The sequence below is a fragment of the Homo sapiens genome, chromosome 8 (genome assembly GCF_000001405.40).
Source record: "Homo sapiens chromosome 8, GRCh38.p14 Primary Assembly".
Taxonomy (NCBI): domain Eukaryota; kingdom Metazoa; phylum Chordata; class Mammalia; order Primates; family Hominidae; genus Homo; species Homo sapiens.
The window spans coordinates 77,068,463-77,084,430 of NC_000008.11; positions in this window are offsets into that span (position 1 = coordinate 77,068,463).

A 15,968-nucleotide genomic window follows, 5' to 3' on the forward strand; every position below is an offset into this window, starting at 1 on the left:
ACAGATTACGAATATTGTTTCTAAATTCCTTAATCTTTCCTTTGGTATGAATCACTAAATACTTTCTAACCTACTCAATTTTGTTTTCATTTTCATTAGTCTTCCATCTTAGCCTCTTTCTCCTTAATTATTTGGAAGCTGTTTTCATCATACCAACTAATTTCTGAAGAAGTGTGGTTTTCATAAATTATGTTTAATTGATACATAATAGTTATATATATGTATGGGATACATGTGACATGAAACATGCATACAATGTGTAATGCAAATCAAAGTAATTGGGATATCCATCACCTCAAACATTTATCATTTCTTTGTGTTGGGAACATTTCAAATATTTTCTTCCAGCTGTTTTGAAATATAGCATAAATGCTCATTAATTGTAGCTGCGCTATTATGCTATCGAATAGCAGAACTTACTCTATCTACCTGTATTTTTGAACCCATTAGCAGACCTCTTTTCATGCCCTCCTCCCTCAGACCCTTCCCAGACTCTGGTAATCACCATTCTACTCACTACCTCCATGAGATCGCTAGTTTTTTCAGCTTCCACATTTGAGTGAGAAAATGTGATACTTATTTTTTTGTGCCTGGCTTATTTCACTTAGCACAATGTCCTCCAGGCTCATCTGTGTTACTGAAAATGGCAATATTTCATTCTTTCATTGTGGCTAAATACTATTCCATTTTGTATATATACCACATTTTCTTTATCCATTCATCATTAATGGTCACTTAGGTTGAAGTGTCCAAACAGTTTGATCTTGGCTATCATGATGGGTGCTGCAATAAACATGGGAGTGTAGCTATCTCTTTGATATACTGATTTCCTTTCTTCTGGATATATATCCAAGACTGAGATTGCTGGATCACATGGTAGCTCTATATTTCTTGAGGAAGCTCTGTACCATCTTTCGTAGTTGTTGGACTAATTTAAATTCCCACTGAGAGTGTGCAAGCATCTCCCTTTCTTCACATCCTCCCAGCATCTGTTATTTTCTGTCTTTTTGATAAGAGTCGTTTTATCTGGGTGAGATGATATAACATTGTGGTTTTGATTTGTATTTCCCTGATGATGAGTAATCTTGAACATTTTTTCATATATCTGTTGGCCATTTGTATGTTTGCATTTGAGAAATGTCTACTCATATTTTTTTACCAAAAAATTTAATGAAATTATTTGGGTTTTATGTGTTATTGTGTTGTTTGAACTCTATATATCCTGGTTATGAATTTCTTGTCATATGGATAGTTTGCAGATATTTTCTCCCATTCTGTAGGTTGTCTCTGCACTTTGTTGATTGTTTAAATTGCTGCACAGAAGTTTTTTTAGCTCATGTAATCTAATTGGTCAATTCTTGCTTTTAATAACGGACTTTTGAGGTCTTACTCAAAAAAAATCTTTGCTTAGTCCTGTAGCATTTTCCCAATGTTTTGAAGAAAAGTGCTTTTAAGATGACTCCACCTTGAGCAAGACCCCATTGTTTTCATGTCATAGTTCTTATACATACTTGGCAATTGTAATCTCATGGATCTAGAATCTAGACAAAATTATTTGACTTTTTCATTTCATTTCATATAGATTTTGAAGCTGCTGTCTCCCTGTTCAACTCCATGTGTCACTATTTATAGTTACTAATCAGATATTTGATTCAGACTGTCACTAAATCTTCTTTGAATTCTTCTTCCTAAATTCAGTATAACCTAAAAGCTTTTTTTCATATTACCTGAAAGCTCTTTTCACCTCTTCTACAATCCTAATAAAATATATAAAAATATCCCTTGATAAAACTCAGTGGTTTTTAGTATATGCACAAAGTTGATCAACCATCACCACTAATTAATTTTAGAACATTTCATCACACCAAAAAGAAACTCCATTCGCATTAGCAATTTTTCCCTATCTGTCCCTCCTCTCAGTCTCTGGTAAACCACTAATATAGTTCTGTTTTTATTAATTTGCTTATTCTGGACATTTCATATAAACACCTCATGCAAAATGTGGCCTATTATGCATGGCTTCTCTCCTTTAGGATTTGTTTTCAAAGTTCATCTGTGTTGTAGCATATGACAGTACTTCCTTTTTATGGTTGAATCACATTCCATTGTGTGAATAGATGACATTTTGTTTACCCATTTATCAGTAATTGGACATTTAGGTTGCTTTCATTTTTTGTCTATTATGAATAATGTTGTTCTGAACATTTGTGTGTATATTTTTATGTGAACATATGTTCTTATTTCTCTTGGGTATATAGCCAGAAGTAGAATTGCTGGGTTATATGATAACTCTATTTAATATTTAGAGAAACTGAACTGTTTTATAAAGTGGCTACATCATTTTATAGTTGAAACAGCAACGAATAAAGTTCTCGGCTGGGTGTGGTAGCTCATGCCTGTAATCCCAACACTTTGGAGTTTGAGACCCGGTCAGGAGTTCAAGACCAGCCTGGCCAACATGGTGAAACCCCTGTCTCTTCTAAGAATATAAAAATTAGCCAGGCGTGGTGGTGCATGCCTGTAATCCTAGCTACTCAGGGGGCTGAGGAGGGAGGATTGCTTGAACCTGGGAGGTGGAGGCTGCAGTGAACTGAGATAGTACCATTGTACTCCTGTTTTTTTAGAAGTTTTATCTCATTGTGATTTTGTTTTGAATGACCCTAATGATTAATGATGTTGAGAATCTTTTCATGCACATATTGAACATTTGTATGTCTTCTTTGGGGAACTGTCTATTCAAATCTTGTGCTCAATTTTTAGTTGTTAAATTGTGAAATTTCTTTGTATAGTCTGGATACAGGTCACTTACACGATATGTGGTTTGCAAATATTCTCTTCCATTTTGTGGGTTGTCTTTACATTTTTTAAAATTGGTGCTCTTTAAAACATGAAGGTTTTAATTTTGATGGAATATAAGTTATCTATATATATTTTTGTCCATTGTGCTTTAGGCATTTTTTCTAAGAACCCATCACAAATATTTACACCTATGATTTCTCCTAGGAATTTAATAGGTTTAGCTCTTACATTTACATATATGATCTATTTTGTGAGTATTTTATACATGGTGTGAGATAAGGGTCCAAGTTATTCTTTTGCTTGTGGATGTCGAGTGACCCTACACTATTTGTTGAAAAGACTACTTTAGACACATTGTTTTGTCTGGATACCACCCTTGTTGAAAATCAAATGATCATAGATGTATGGATTTATTTTTGAACTCTTAATCCTAATCTATTGATCTATATGTCTGTCCTTATGTCAGTACCACACTGTTTTAGTTATTATAACATTGTTACAAGTTTTGAAATAGAGAATTGCAAATCCTTCAACTTGTTTTTTTTCAAGATGATTTTAGCTACTGTATGTCCAATAATTGTTTTAAATGTGGCAAATATGCTTAAGAACGGTTAGTTCTTAAGTAGCATATAGTAACCATCATTGTAAATTGTGGCTCACATTTTTTTAAATTTGCATTTTATAAAGTTACTAGCGCCTTAGCTCCAAGAGTACTAGAAACAAACTATTTCACATATGTGGGCAGAATGATTGTTGACTTGGCATCTTGTTAAGAATAACAATGTTGGCTTTATATCATCAAAGACTCCCATGCTTTATTTGAGTATTGGGAATTGACTAAGGGAGTTGCCAATATACGTTGCAATTTTAGATCACCTACAATGGTGACTTACGTTTTTCCAATGTAGTACAAATAAAAGGTAAGAACTGAATCCAACTGGCTGTTCTCTAATTATGGCTCAAGGTTTTGGTGATAGTCTGACAGACTTCTTGAGAAAACACTGTAAAACCATCTCCCTCTCTAGTATAATTACTATTATTAATTTCAATAGTTAATTCAATTTTTTAAGTTGAATTATTTTTATAATTTTACCAAAAATTGATTTTTATATTTGTGCTAGACATATTAGACTGGACACATTGCATTAACGAGATGATCTGCAGGTGCAAGAAGTTGAGAAACACTGTCCTGAAATTAAAGAGAACATTTAACAAATACTAAACACTTTTTACATTTTCCAGGAGAAATTCTGTTTCCCAGAAATCATGTGATGTTTCACCGTTGCTTGAGAACTACTTTCTGCAATTCTTGGTATAAAATTTTCAGGGCAAAGATAAATATCCCATAATAGCTCATATGTGGAATTATTTTGCCTTTGTATCTGGTGTTGTGATTTCTGTTAGAGAACTTTTACTATCTTTAACAACACAGAATTGATTTTCTAAATGAAATGCATCACAGAAAAAGTGTCTAGTGAATAATTTTAATAACACTTTATGGAGCTATCTTGGGACAAGCAGTCCTCTAGCACTTATTTTCCCTTGAGACTTAGAAGAAATCATATCTCTAGTGCTCATAATAAGGAACTAATTTAACTGAGTTCAAGTTAGCTGTGAACAAATGGATTAACAAGCACCTTATTAAAATTTTAATTTACATTTCATTTATCACATTTAATAGAATCAACTTTGTTGTTTCAGGGTGGGAAAAAGCATTAATTTCCAAAGATAACTTTGGGTACCATTAATTGCTAATGCTTTCCTTGTTGGTTTTCATAATTACCATAATTGTGTACCCTATGTAGCATGGAAATATAAGATGCATAACATAAACTTTTACTCTTAAAGACCATTTAATTATTCAACAAATAAAAAATATTTATGTTTGTATAGATTGTGGATTTTGTTGCTACTGTAAGAATGTTTAATTAAGATAATGTAAAAGTTTTGGTCCTTTTAGGATATAACTTAGATAGTTACATATTTTGATGTCTAGAGAAATAGTCTGGATATTCTTTGATAATATTTTGTCTTATATCTTTTTTACTCACATTACTTATTTTTCTTAAATTTACTTAAGTATTTCTGCTATTTGTATATGAGAATGTTCCAATTATATTTGTTAAAGATTTATGCTTTTATTGGTAAAGTGTATTGGTAGAGTAAGAAAATTGTTATGTCTTCAGGAAAAAAAAATGTATGTATTATAGCATTTATTATAATACCAATGAACAAAAGACCGATGAAGAAAACGATGAAGTACACAAGTATTAACTTTAACGAAGAGAAGCAACCATTTGGAATCATTGTGTAAATTAAAACCTTTGTATCCAAAGTCTTTCCTCTAAAGCATATCAGTTGATTACTTGAGTAGGACTGCAAGGATAGTCTTAAAATTCAGTTTTGGATCTGTTCTTTAAATGAAGTTTTAACTATAATGCATGAACTCTGATGGTTCTAATAAAATAATTGATGACTTTCATCCATTTTTATAATGCCAATTATAACTATTTGATATACTTGAAGGCACAATTTTAATCACTTTATACATCTCTGAATAAGAATAAAAATATGTATATGTTTAAGGGCCTGTATTTCATTTATAGAATTAGCATCCTGTCAAGATATTTTTCAGATTATATCATTAAAATAGGAAAAGGTAACATTTTCTTAAAATGAGACAAGTGATCTAATCTTAATGACAGCTACTGTTAATGTCATGCACCTAGATATAGTTTATAATGCTTAGTAATTACAGCCATCTTTCTTCTCTTTTACTAATTATTTCAAGAGAAAGAAGTAAAAGCTTTAAGAAGGGGCACAAAAGGCAGCTACATTGGATCTTTTTTGTAAAGCAAATAGCTTTCAAATCATTCCATTAGCTGTCATCAGAGTACAAAAAGAATTAATCAAAAATGACATCAATCTTAAAGGCCTGCCAAAACCTCATGAGAAAAACAATCCCATCATAAAAAGAGATAAATTAAAGGCACTGTCCCTGATTCTGTAAAAGGATTTCACGTTTTCCCCCTATGCACCCACATTTGTGTTATAGAAGATTATATATAAGATATATACTTTAAATTCTTCTGGTACATTTATTTTGAGCAACTAGTGTATCTAATGTAATAGTTAATCAATACATTTCAGTATATTTTGTATTTACCTAAGTCCTTTTTTTCAAAACATATCTGTATTTGTCTTTTTAAGTTTAATTTTGACTTTTTTAGCATAATATTTGAAATTATTAGAATCTCGTGTGGAATCACAACAGATAACTAAAGCACATGATACTTGGAAACCAAAAGAAAGATAAAAGTTGGCAAGGACATAAAAGGTATTTTTGTTGAGTCTACATGTAAATATCCAAGAAACTGTAATTTAATATTATTTATCATACAGTTGTTTTTAAGTACTTATGAACATAACACAACTTTATGTTTACTTAAAGGGTTTCAAGCCTATATCATCTTCTTTGTTAAAATTTGGTTATTGGTAAACCTTGATATCCACAAGGATAAATATTATTTCTATTCTTTATAAGAGTTAACCAAAGCTCAGAGCAATGAGACTGCCAAACATAATAATGTATTAAAGTGGAGAAGTAAGACCTGGAAGCTGGATCTTTACATTTCCGGTGCTCTTCCCACTGCTTTACATCTCCTGTCTTACTATGTTCTGTGCAAACCACTTTGGACTTCAAACTTTAATAGGAGGTGAGTATAGGAAACATAATAAAGTCAATTCCCTTATTTTCTGGTGTTTACTTGGGATGCATCAGTGAACAAAACAAAGGTATCTGTCCTTATGAAATTTATATCATAGCAGAGGAAGACTGGAAATGAATAAATAAATAAAGAATGGAGTTTGTTGGAAGGTAATAAGTTCTGTGGAAACAAGGAAAACCAAGGCATGGAGGTTTGGAGTGCTAAAGTGAAGGTGTGAGAACAGATTGCTCTTGCTCAGTTTTCTGTCTTCTTTTGTTTAGGAAATTGTCATTCTCTGTATGCTTCATTATAATATATACAATAAATATGAATTGTTATAATTTAAGATAAATTATATAAATATAAATTATAAATGTGTGTACATATGCATATATATGCACATATATGAATACATGCATGTACATACAAATACCTGCATATTTAACACAATTTTTATTTATATAATTTATATTTTATAAATGCATATGTTTTGTAATTATGAATTTACTCAAATTTGTTTGTAACTCAAAAATGAATGCTTGTGACACTTGATTCGTCATTCAAAGACACACACATAAGTAGAACAGCAAAAAATTGGACTCTCCTAGCGTGCATATTCCCAGGGAGGTTGTATGCTCCCCGGGAATTGTTCAACCTCCCTGAGATCAAACAGGGAGAATCTATGACTTTTTGTTTCAGTCCTTCTACTGTAAACAAGTGCCCTTTTTGCAATGTGTTTAGTGCTATGTTTTTCACAATTTGTGCATTTTGTCTGTGATTTCACTGTTGAGAATGGCCCTCAAGCATAGTCCTGAAGTGCTGTCTAGTGTTCCTAAACACAACAAGGCTGAGATGTGCCCTGTGGAGGAAATACATATGTTAGATTGGCTTCATTCAGGCATGAATTATAGTGCTGTTGGTCATGAGTTCAGCGTTAATTGATCAACAAAGTGTATTAAATAATATGTCTTTAATAAATATACGTGTGCATGTGTCCTATAGTAGAATGATTTATAATCCTTTGGGTATATAGCCAGTAATGGGATCGCTGGATCAAATGGTATTTCTGGTTGTAGATCCTTGAGGAATCACCACACTGCCTTCCACAATGATTGAACTAATTTACACTCCCATTGCAGAACTATTTACAATAGCAAAGACTTGGAACCCACCCAAATGCCCATCAATGATAGACTGAATAAAGAAAAAGTGGCACATATATACCATGGAACACTATGCAACCATAAGAAAGAATGAGTTTATGTCCTTTGCAGGGACATAGATGAAGCTGGAAGCCATCAGTCTCTGCAAACTAACACAGGAACAGAAAACCAAACACCATATGTTCTCACTCATAAGTGGGAGCTGAACAAAGAGAATACATGGCCATAGGGAGGGGAACATCATACACCGGGGCCTGTCAGAGGGTCGGGGGCAAGGGGAGGGAGAGCATAAGGACAAATACCTAATGCACGCGGGGCTTAAAACCTAGATGACGGGTTGATAGGTGGAGCAAACCACCATGGAATATGTATACCTATGTAACAAACCCACACGTTCTGCACATGTATCCCAGAACTTGAAGTAAAATTAAAAAAAAGAAAAAGAAAAAGAAAAAGAAACAAGGCTGGAGAGCCTTCCAGTATCAACTGTGAACAAGATGGGAAAGCATTCACAGCCACAGAGAACAACCTGAACTAAGGTGTCCCCCCAAAAAAAAAAAGAAAAGTAGAAGAAGGAAAAAGGAAAAATTACCTTTTGAGGTGGCCTGTTTCAAGTAATAATCATATAGCATAGTCTCTCAAAAAATAATGTATTTAGACAATCACCATCTGGGCATCTACCACACACTGCACTCAGTGCTGAGGACTCAGCAGTGAACAGGTTGACAAAGCCCTACTCTGCTGGAGCTTTACTTTGGGGAGAGAAAGAAGGATGCAGGGTGACAAGTATATTAGCAATATCATTTCAATTTGTGATATATGATACAGAAAAAATAAACAAGAAGCTGTGACTAAGGGAGAAAAAAATTCCTTAAACCAAAATGCACATAAAACAAGGTTATGTCTTAATAAGTTAATAAAACAGTTGTGACTGGAGGGTCACAGGAACTTAACCCTGTTTTTCCCTGAGTGGCAATTATTCAGTATTCACTAACTCAAATTTCACAAGGACTTTTTTTTTCTTCAACTCCTATTTTAAGTTCAGGGGTACATGTGCAGGATGTGCAGGTTTGTCACATCAGTAAAAATGCACTATGGTGGTTTGCTGCACAGATCATCCCATCGCCTAGGTATTAAGCCCAGCATCCATTAGCTATTAGTCCTGATGCTCCTTCTCTTCCTGCCCCCCAACCCCAACCGGCCCCAGTGTGAGTTTTTCTCCTCCATGTGTCCATGTGTTCTCATCATTCAGCTCCCACTTGTAAGTGAGAACATGCGATGTTTGGTTTTCTGTTCCTGCATTAGTTTGCTGAGGATAATGGCCTCCAGCTCCATTTATGTCCCTGCAAAGGACATGAGCTCATTCCTTTTTGTGGCTGCAAAATGTTCCATGGTGTATATATACCACATTTTCTTTATCCAGTTTATCATTGTGGGGCATTTGAGTTGATTCCGTGCCTTTGCTATTGTGAATAGTGCCGCAATGAACATACATGTGCATATGTCTTTATAATAGAATGGTTTATATTCCTTTGGGTGTATAGCTAGTAATGGGATTGCTGGGTCAAATTATATTTCTGCCTCTAGGTCTTCGAGGAAGCCCCACACTGTCTTCCACAATGTTTGAACTAATTTACAGTCCCACCAACAGTGTAAAAGTGTTCTTTTTCTCTGCAACCTCACCAGCATCTGTTGTTTTTTGACTTTTAGTAATAGCCATTCTGACTGGTGCAAGATGGTATCTCGTTGAGGTTTTGATTTGCATTTCTCTAATGATCAGTGAGGTTGAGCCTTTTTTCACATTTTTTGGCCGCATGTGTGTCTTCTTTCACGATGACGTTATAGAATATGACTACATTGAATGAGAAAAGCAATTGTATTAGGTTACAAGGTGTTTAATATAGATTAAAATTACATCCTCAATTGCAAACAATTACAATAATTTTCACCAATAAGCCTCTGATTATTTCCTGTAGTCAGCGTATTTACTGACTAAATATTTTAGCACTATCCTGTATGATATAACAGCTTAAAAAACATCACCTTTAAGAACTACTGAATGATTCTGGTGGAGATTTCTCAATCTAATTCTGTTTGACAATGAATTTTTTTGGAGCTTTCTGAATAGGATTTTTTTATGTGGAATCTTGGCACTTGGTGTATAGCTTATTTCAATATGCTTCTTATGCAATTCTGTCTATTTTTTCTCATTTTCTCTTCATGCTTCAATCTGGATATTTTCAATTGATCTATCTTCTAGTTTACTCATCTTCTCTAAACATAGAAAAGTCTAACCTTCTCTTAAACTTATTTATTGAGTTCCTAATTTTAATTTGTGTATATATATATTTAATTTTTATTTATTTATTTTATTTGTTTATTTATTTATTTGAGATGGAGTCTCACTCTGTCGCCCAGGCTGGAGTGCAATGGCACAATGTCAGCTCACTGCAACCTCCGCCTCCGAGGTTCAAGTGATTCTCCTGCCTCATCCTCCCAAGTAGCTGGAATTACAAGCATGCACCACCACGCTCAGCTAATTTTTGTATTTTTAATAGAGACAGGGTTTCACTGTGTTGGACATGCTGGTCTCAAACTCCTGACCTCAAGTAATCTGCCTGCCTCAGCCTCCCAAAGTTCTGGGATTACAGTAGGCATGAGCCACTGCACCCAGTTATTTTTATTTTTTCAAGAGAATCTAGTTTTGTCTTTTAAAGGATTTTTAATGAGCCTGTGAATATGTAAAATTAAGCTCAGAACTGACTATGGAGTAGAAAGTTAAATTGTTCTGCCTAATAAAGTGAGAAAGCCTGGAACACAGAGAAGCAGAGAGAGAAGGAGACAATCTTGAGGGTAGAAGTGTGCTCTGAGGGATACAATAAAAAACTGAAGCCTGCACAGAAAGTTGGGCAGTGAGAAATTCCTATGAATGGGCTCAGAGAGAAGCCTGTGCATGCAGTGTGTGTTACAGGGACTCTGAGTTTAGAAACCGTGAATCATTATAACGGGCTGTGTAAAAGGGTCCTTGGATCTAGAGGGAGACATCCCTGTCTCAAGGAAACCTGTCCTGCTCTGCAGGGAAACCTTATTATTTTCCAAGGCTGTTTTCTGTACAAACATACTTGGAAAGATAGTCCGAAAAAGAGGGCCGTGCTTGAAACAAAGGACAGACAATGCCTTACTTCACAAGATATGCAGCAATGTGAGAAATCCTTGGAGAATTGTCTCCCAATGGACTGTAAAAATTCATCTTTCTTTGCAATATTGGACATTTTTTCTGGGAGCTTTTTCCATTTTAATTGCTTGGTATACTATGCCACTTAGCATCCTCACTTAGAAACACACATTTTGATCTTATGCTGTGGGTATGATTATCATATGACTCATAAATGACAGTATGATACAATCATCACCTTAAAGTAGGAAAAACTCTTATTTCTCTTCAATTACATATAATTATCCTTGGAAAACTGTATTGAAAGACTAATTTTACATTGATGTGTCACATAATTACATATCACTAGTGACATAAAAAATTCAAAATATTCTATAAATTATCCTTTAAAAAAAGCCCAGACACTTCTTACCCCAGTATTACCAAAATCAAGAGTGTTGGATCATCTAGTTTTTTATAAATAAGTTCAGATTGCTATTACTCAAACTGAGTAACTAAGCTGTGCTAAAGCTTGCAATTTGTTGGGAAAGTTGTGGGAGGCCTAAAGTTCCATCTGTCACTCTGCTCCAAGCCCTCTTCTTGGGCTCAGGTGTTTTTCCTGAGAGTTTCTTTCTTCCCTGAAGGAAGCTCCAATGACTTAGCATGCTTTCCACCCTGCTCTCAGTTTCTGTGATCTTATCCACTTTACTCCTTGGAATTTTGTTTTTCTTTCCTTCTTTTTCTTTTTTAATTCAAGCCTGATTGTAGGATGTAAAGCAACCTCTACCATTCTCCTCTTTCTAGCTACTTTGGAAAACAAACAGATATGCTTTTCTATTGAAGGATTTTAATGATCACCACATTAGGGAAAGCTATTGAGATTAATTAAATCATTAATGTGAGCAAATTACAAAATTGCAGACATCTAAGTTCTTAGTATGTAAGAATTATTCAAAGTTTCTTATTTCCTATAGAATAAAGTCCAAACATTTTATTCATAAAAGTTAGCCTATCATCTTCTCCCTACTTCCCTTTCTAACTTCATATCACTTATCAATTTCGGTTCTGCTACATTCACTGTGCAGTTTTTGGTTAAAGTCTCTCCTGTGTTTATGCTTCTCTATCTTTATAGGATGCCTTTTCCTCTCATGTCTGCTTTACTTGTTTTTTCTCTTTCTTTAAGAGTGCATTCAAATGTTTTTTGAATTGATCTCCAGGAAGTTTTCTCTGACTATAAGACGTGTTCCCATAATATACCATGTATACCTTCATATTGTACTTATATCATTTAAGAATATTATAATTTAATTATATGTATAGACCACTGTTACACTGCAAGTCAGTTGTGACAAATATTTCTGCAGCATATTTAGCACAGAGACTGTCACATAGTTGGTATTCAATGTTTGGTGAATGAATGAGTGAATACCTCTTTCCAGGGTGACTTTTACTGGTGCCAGTCTCACACTTTATATCGTCCAATCCAAGCATTCATTTGTCATCCCTGCACTCCTTCCTGTGCTTTCATTCATGATCTTCTCTTGTCAGAATGGCAATCTGTAACTCAAGCCCACTTCCTCCATTATGCTCTTCCTTGCAAACTGCTACCTTTATCACTGATAGAATGAAAGGATGCTCCCAATGAATGTCGTGTAGACACTTTTATTGTCACACTTAAAACACTATTTTTAGCATGTTTTTTTTTTCATATGTCTCTCTTTCACTGACAATTATAACCCTTCAAGGATGAGGCAGTTTTGTAAATAATTTTGCCACCCCAGAACCTAGCATAATGCCTGCCACTTGCTGGTTTGTCATATGAATAAATTGATTATTTAATACATGGTACTCTTTACATATAGCATACAGCTGATTCTGTAATAGGAAGCTCATGGTTTCTGCTCTCCATTTTTATAATGCTGAGGGTGGTATTCATCAAAACCAACCTTTATTTTTGACCTTTGTCCCTGGCCAGAGCTATAATAAAAGTAAGCTAGTCATCTCTTTTACCTCAAATGGGAAATTTGAATTTCTGAGGACCTTTTGACTAGGTAACTTCTAATTATCCTGGCTTTTATCCAGCCAACAAATTATCATCTCTAGCTAGAGATTTCTTAACATGAACATATTTTTATCTAGATATAAATATGCAGTGGTCTTGTTTGGGCTGCATGGGTTTCCACATAATGATGAAGAAAGCTGGACTGGATAAGACCATGGGCCTCAGCCAAACCAATCTTATTTAAATAATTATTCAATATTAATTCATAGGAAATACTAAAGGCACTGAAGAAATGCATCTTGTGGGGAGAAATGAAGAGAGATCATTTATATCATCTTCACCACTTTCTCTTCTTTACCCCAGCAAATCAGCTCTGGTTGAATTGTGCCCCTCACTCAGCCAACAAATCAGACCTGTAAGGAAATGCATGGCCACCACATGTTACTTAGGTATGCTCCTTAGTTGGTGGTGGTGGTTGGTTGGGGTTGGGGTTGTTGTTGTGTCCCGTTTCCACCCAGAGGAATTTAGCAAAGTATTACCTTAAAACCACATCTGGTATTTTTGCTGAAATTTTATTAAATCACTTGTTTCCTTCAAGCTGCATTTGCCGAATGTAATTTATCTCCCATTATAAATCTTGATCAGGACAACTGTAACAGGATCCTTGGGGTGTCACTTTGCCAGCTGGAAAGCTGTGTGGCTGGTGGTGCCTTTGCCCAAGTTTTGCTTGGACCCACTAGGCTTTTTCTGTCCACTCAGCCTGGCAGGCTGTGCTTGACTTGCACTACCAGCCTGGATCCCATGCCTGCCAAGGGCAAGCCAGGCACAGAGTGGTGAGGGGTGTGTGAGCAAGCGTGGGGGTCAGGGCACTGTGCACAGCCAGGTGTGCCAGGTGTGCCAGGTGCAGTGGGGCAGGCAGCTTAAAGTACCAGCACAGGCTCCAGTTCTGTGCGAGACTGTGGCTAGCTCAGGCATACCCACAAGCAGCTTCCACTTCGGGCATTGGGGAATGCAGTGGCACCCAAAAGCTTGGAGACACCAGGAACCAGAGTCCCAAACAGGGCAAACAGGGTGTCAAAGCTCTGGTTTAAGTATCCCCTAGGTCTGGGCTTCCCAAAGGGCTGCAACTCTTCTCCCCTTCTCATCACCCGCAATGTGGCAAGCAGGAGACGTGTTTCAGCCCTGTTTGTGTTACAGCTCTTTCAATCCTGCCATTTGCTGTATCCAGAGTTCTAGTCCCACATCCAAGAGGAATGAGGTACATGGACAACTAGAGAGTGAACAAGGGGGAGAGGAGCTTCATTGAGCAACAGAACAGCTCTCAGGAGACCCGAAGTGGGTAGCTCCTTTCTGCAAGCAGGTCATCCAGATGAGTGTCCAGCTCTCAGCAGAGAGGAGACCCGTGGTAGGTAGCTCCTTTCCACAGGCAGGTTGTCCCAACAAGTTGAGGAGACCCTCAGGGAGGGAAGAGGGGGCGCTCCTTCCCCTTGTGGCAGCTGGTAGTCCCCAGTCTTCTGTCTGGCTGAGTCCAGGCTTTATTTATTTATTTATTTATTTATTTATTGAGACAGAGTCTTGCTCTGTCTCCCAGACTGGAGTGCAGTGGCATGATCTCGGCTCACTGCAAGCTCCACCCCATGGGTTCACGCCATTCTCCTGCCTCAGCCTCCCGAGTAGCTGGGACTACAGGCACCCGCCACCACGCCTGGCTAATTTTTTGTATTTTTAGTAGAGACAGGGTTTCATCGTGTTAGCCAGGATGGTCTTGATCTCCTGACCTCGTTATCCGCCCGCCTCGGCCTCCCAAAGTGCTGGGATTACAGGCGTGAGCCACTGCGCCCGGCCGAGTCCAGGCTTTTATGGGCCCAGAAGAGAGGAAGTGTGTGCTGATTGGTCCACGGGCAGCCATGGGCAGGCCCAGAAAAAGCACCATAAGTTCTTATTCTGGGACATGGACTCCACCCATAACTGGCAGCCGTTCCCCCAGGCTTTAGGACATCCCTGGCTTGAAAGGGGGGTTTCACCAGGAACCTGCCCCTTTCCACCCAGGAACCTGTCTACCCCCAACCCCCCACCCTCCACTCCTCTTCAGTGCTCAAAGTCTGGAGGAAGCTGAGGCGGCAGGGGACTGGTGTGTCAGCACTGTCTTGAGTGCGCACACACCTGGCTGTTTGCGACACTGCTTGAGCTCGGCCACAGCTTTGCTCTGGGGGCACTGGGATCAGGGAGAGGTCAGGTAGCAGGAGCAGGCACTTCGAAGCTTGCAGGGGCAGAGGCTTCCTGAAACCCTGAGAACACAGGGATGCCTGGATCTGGAACCACAGCTGAGGGGCTGCAGCTGCATCCAGAAGCATGGGCTCCCACCCTGCCAACTCCATAGGGGGTGGGGCTTCCACCTCTTCCCACTTCCTGCTGGTCCTGCTGAGCATGCAACTGCAGCCGTGCCTTCCTCACCTCAGCGGCGTTTTTGCAGCAGCCACTCCAGAAGGGCCGCCGATGCCATCACAACTGTCTTACAGGAATTTACTTACTGGTAAACCATTTATGTGGAAACCTGTGAAGCTCAGTGGCACTCAGTGTTCTATGTTTCCTGTGACTGGAAAGGACTGAGAAGGGTGGGCAGCAGGGCCCCAGAACACAGCATGCTCCTGAGAAGGGTCAAGATTCCAAGACGGGTTGTGGGCCATGTTCAGCCTTCCCAAGATAAGCAAACTAGTGAGTAAATGGCAGTTTTGCTCAACTTCTTGGTTGCTCCAAGTCTTATTTAGTTGTATTTCTGCTGTTATATATTTGTGTTAGGGGGTGTAATTTTAAAAAAAAAAAAGAAGTATATTTTAGTACAGAGTCTTATTTTGAAGATTAAAAGTGGCTGAAGTCTTAATCCAATAAATAAGCAACAGTGGTGTGGAACAGCAGGACATCATTTAGTTATTCAGAAAAAAGCTCTTCATTTTTTGCCAGCAATCAAGATTTTAAGACTAACAAAGTTTTCATTAAGCTTCACATTTTTTAATTCAATAAGGATAGATTACGGCTAAATCTCTATCATTATAGCTAATACATTGAGTTAGTTTAGGAATATGGCCTGGGCCAAATGTGTATACATCATATTCTATCTATCTATCTATCTATCTATCTATCTA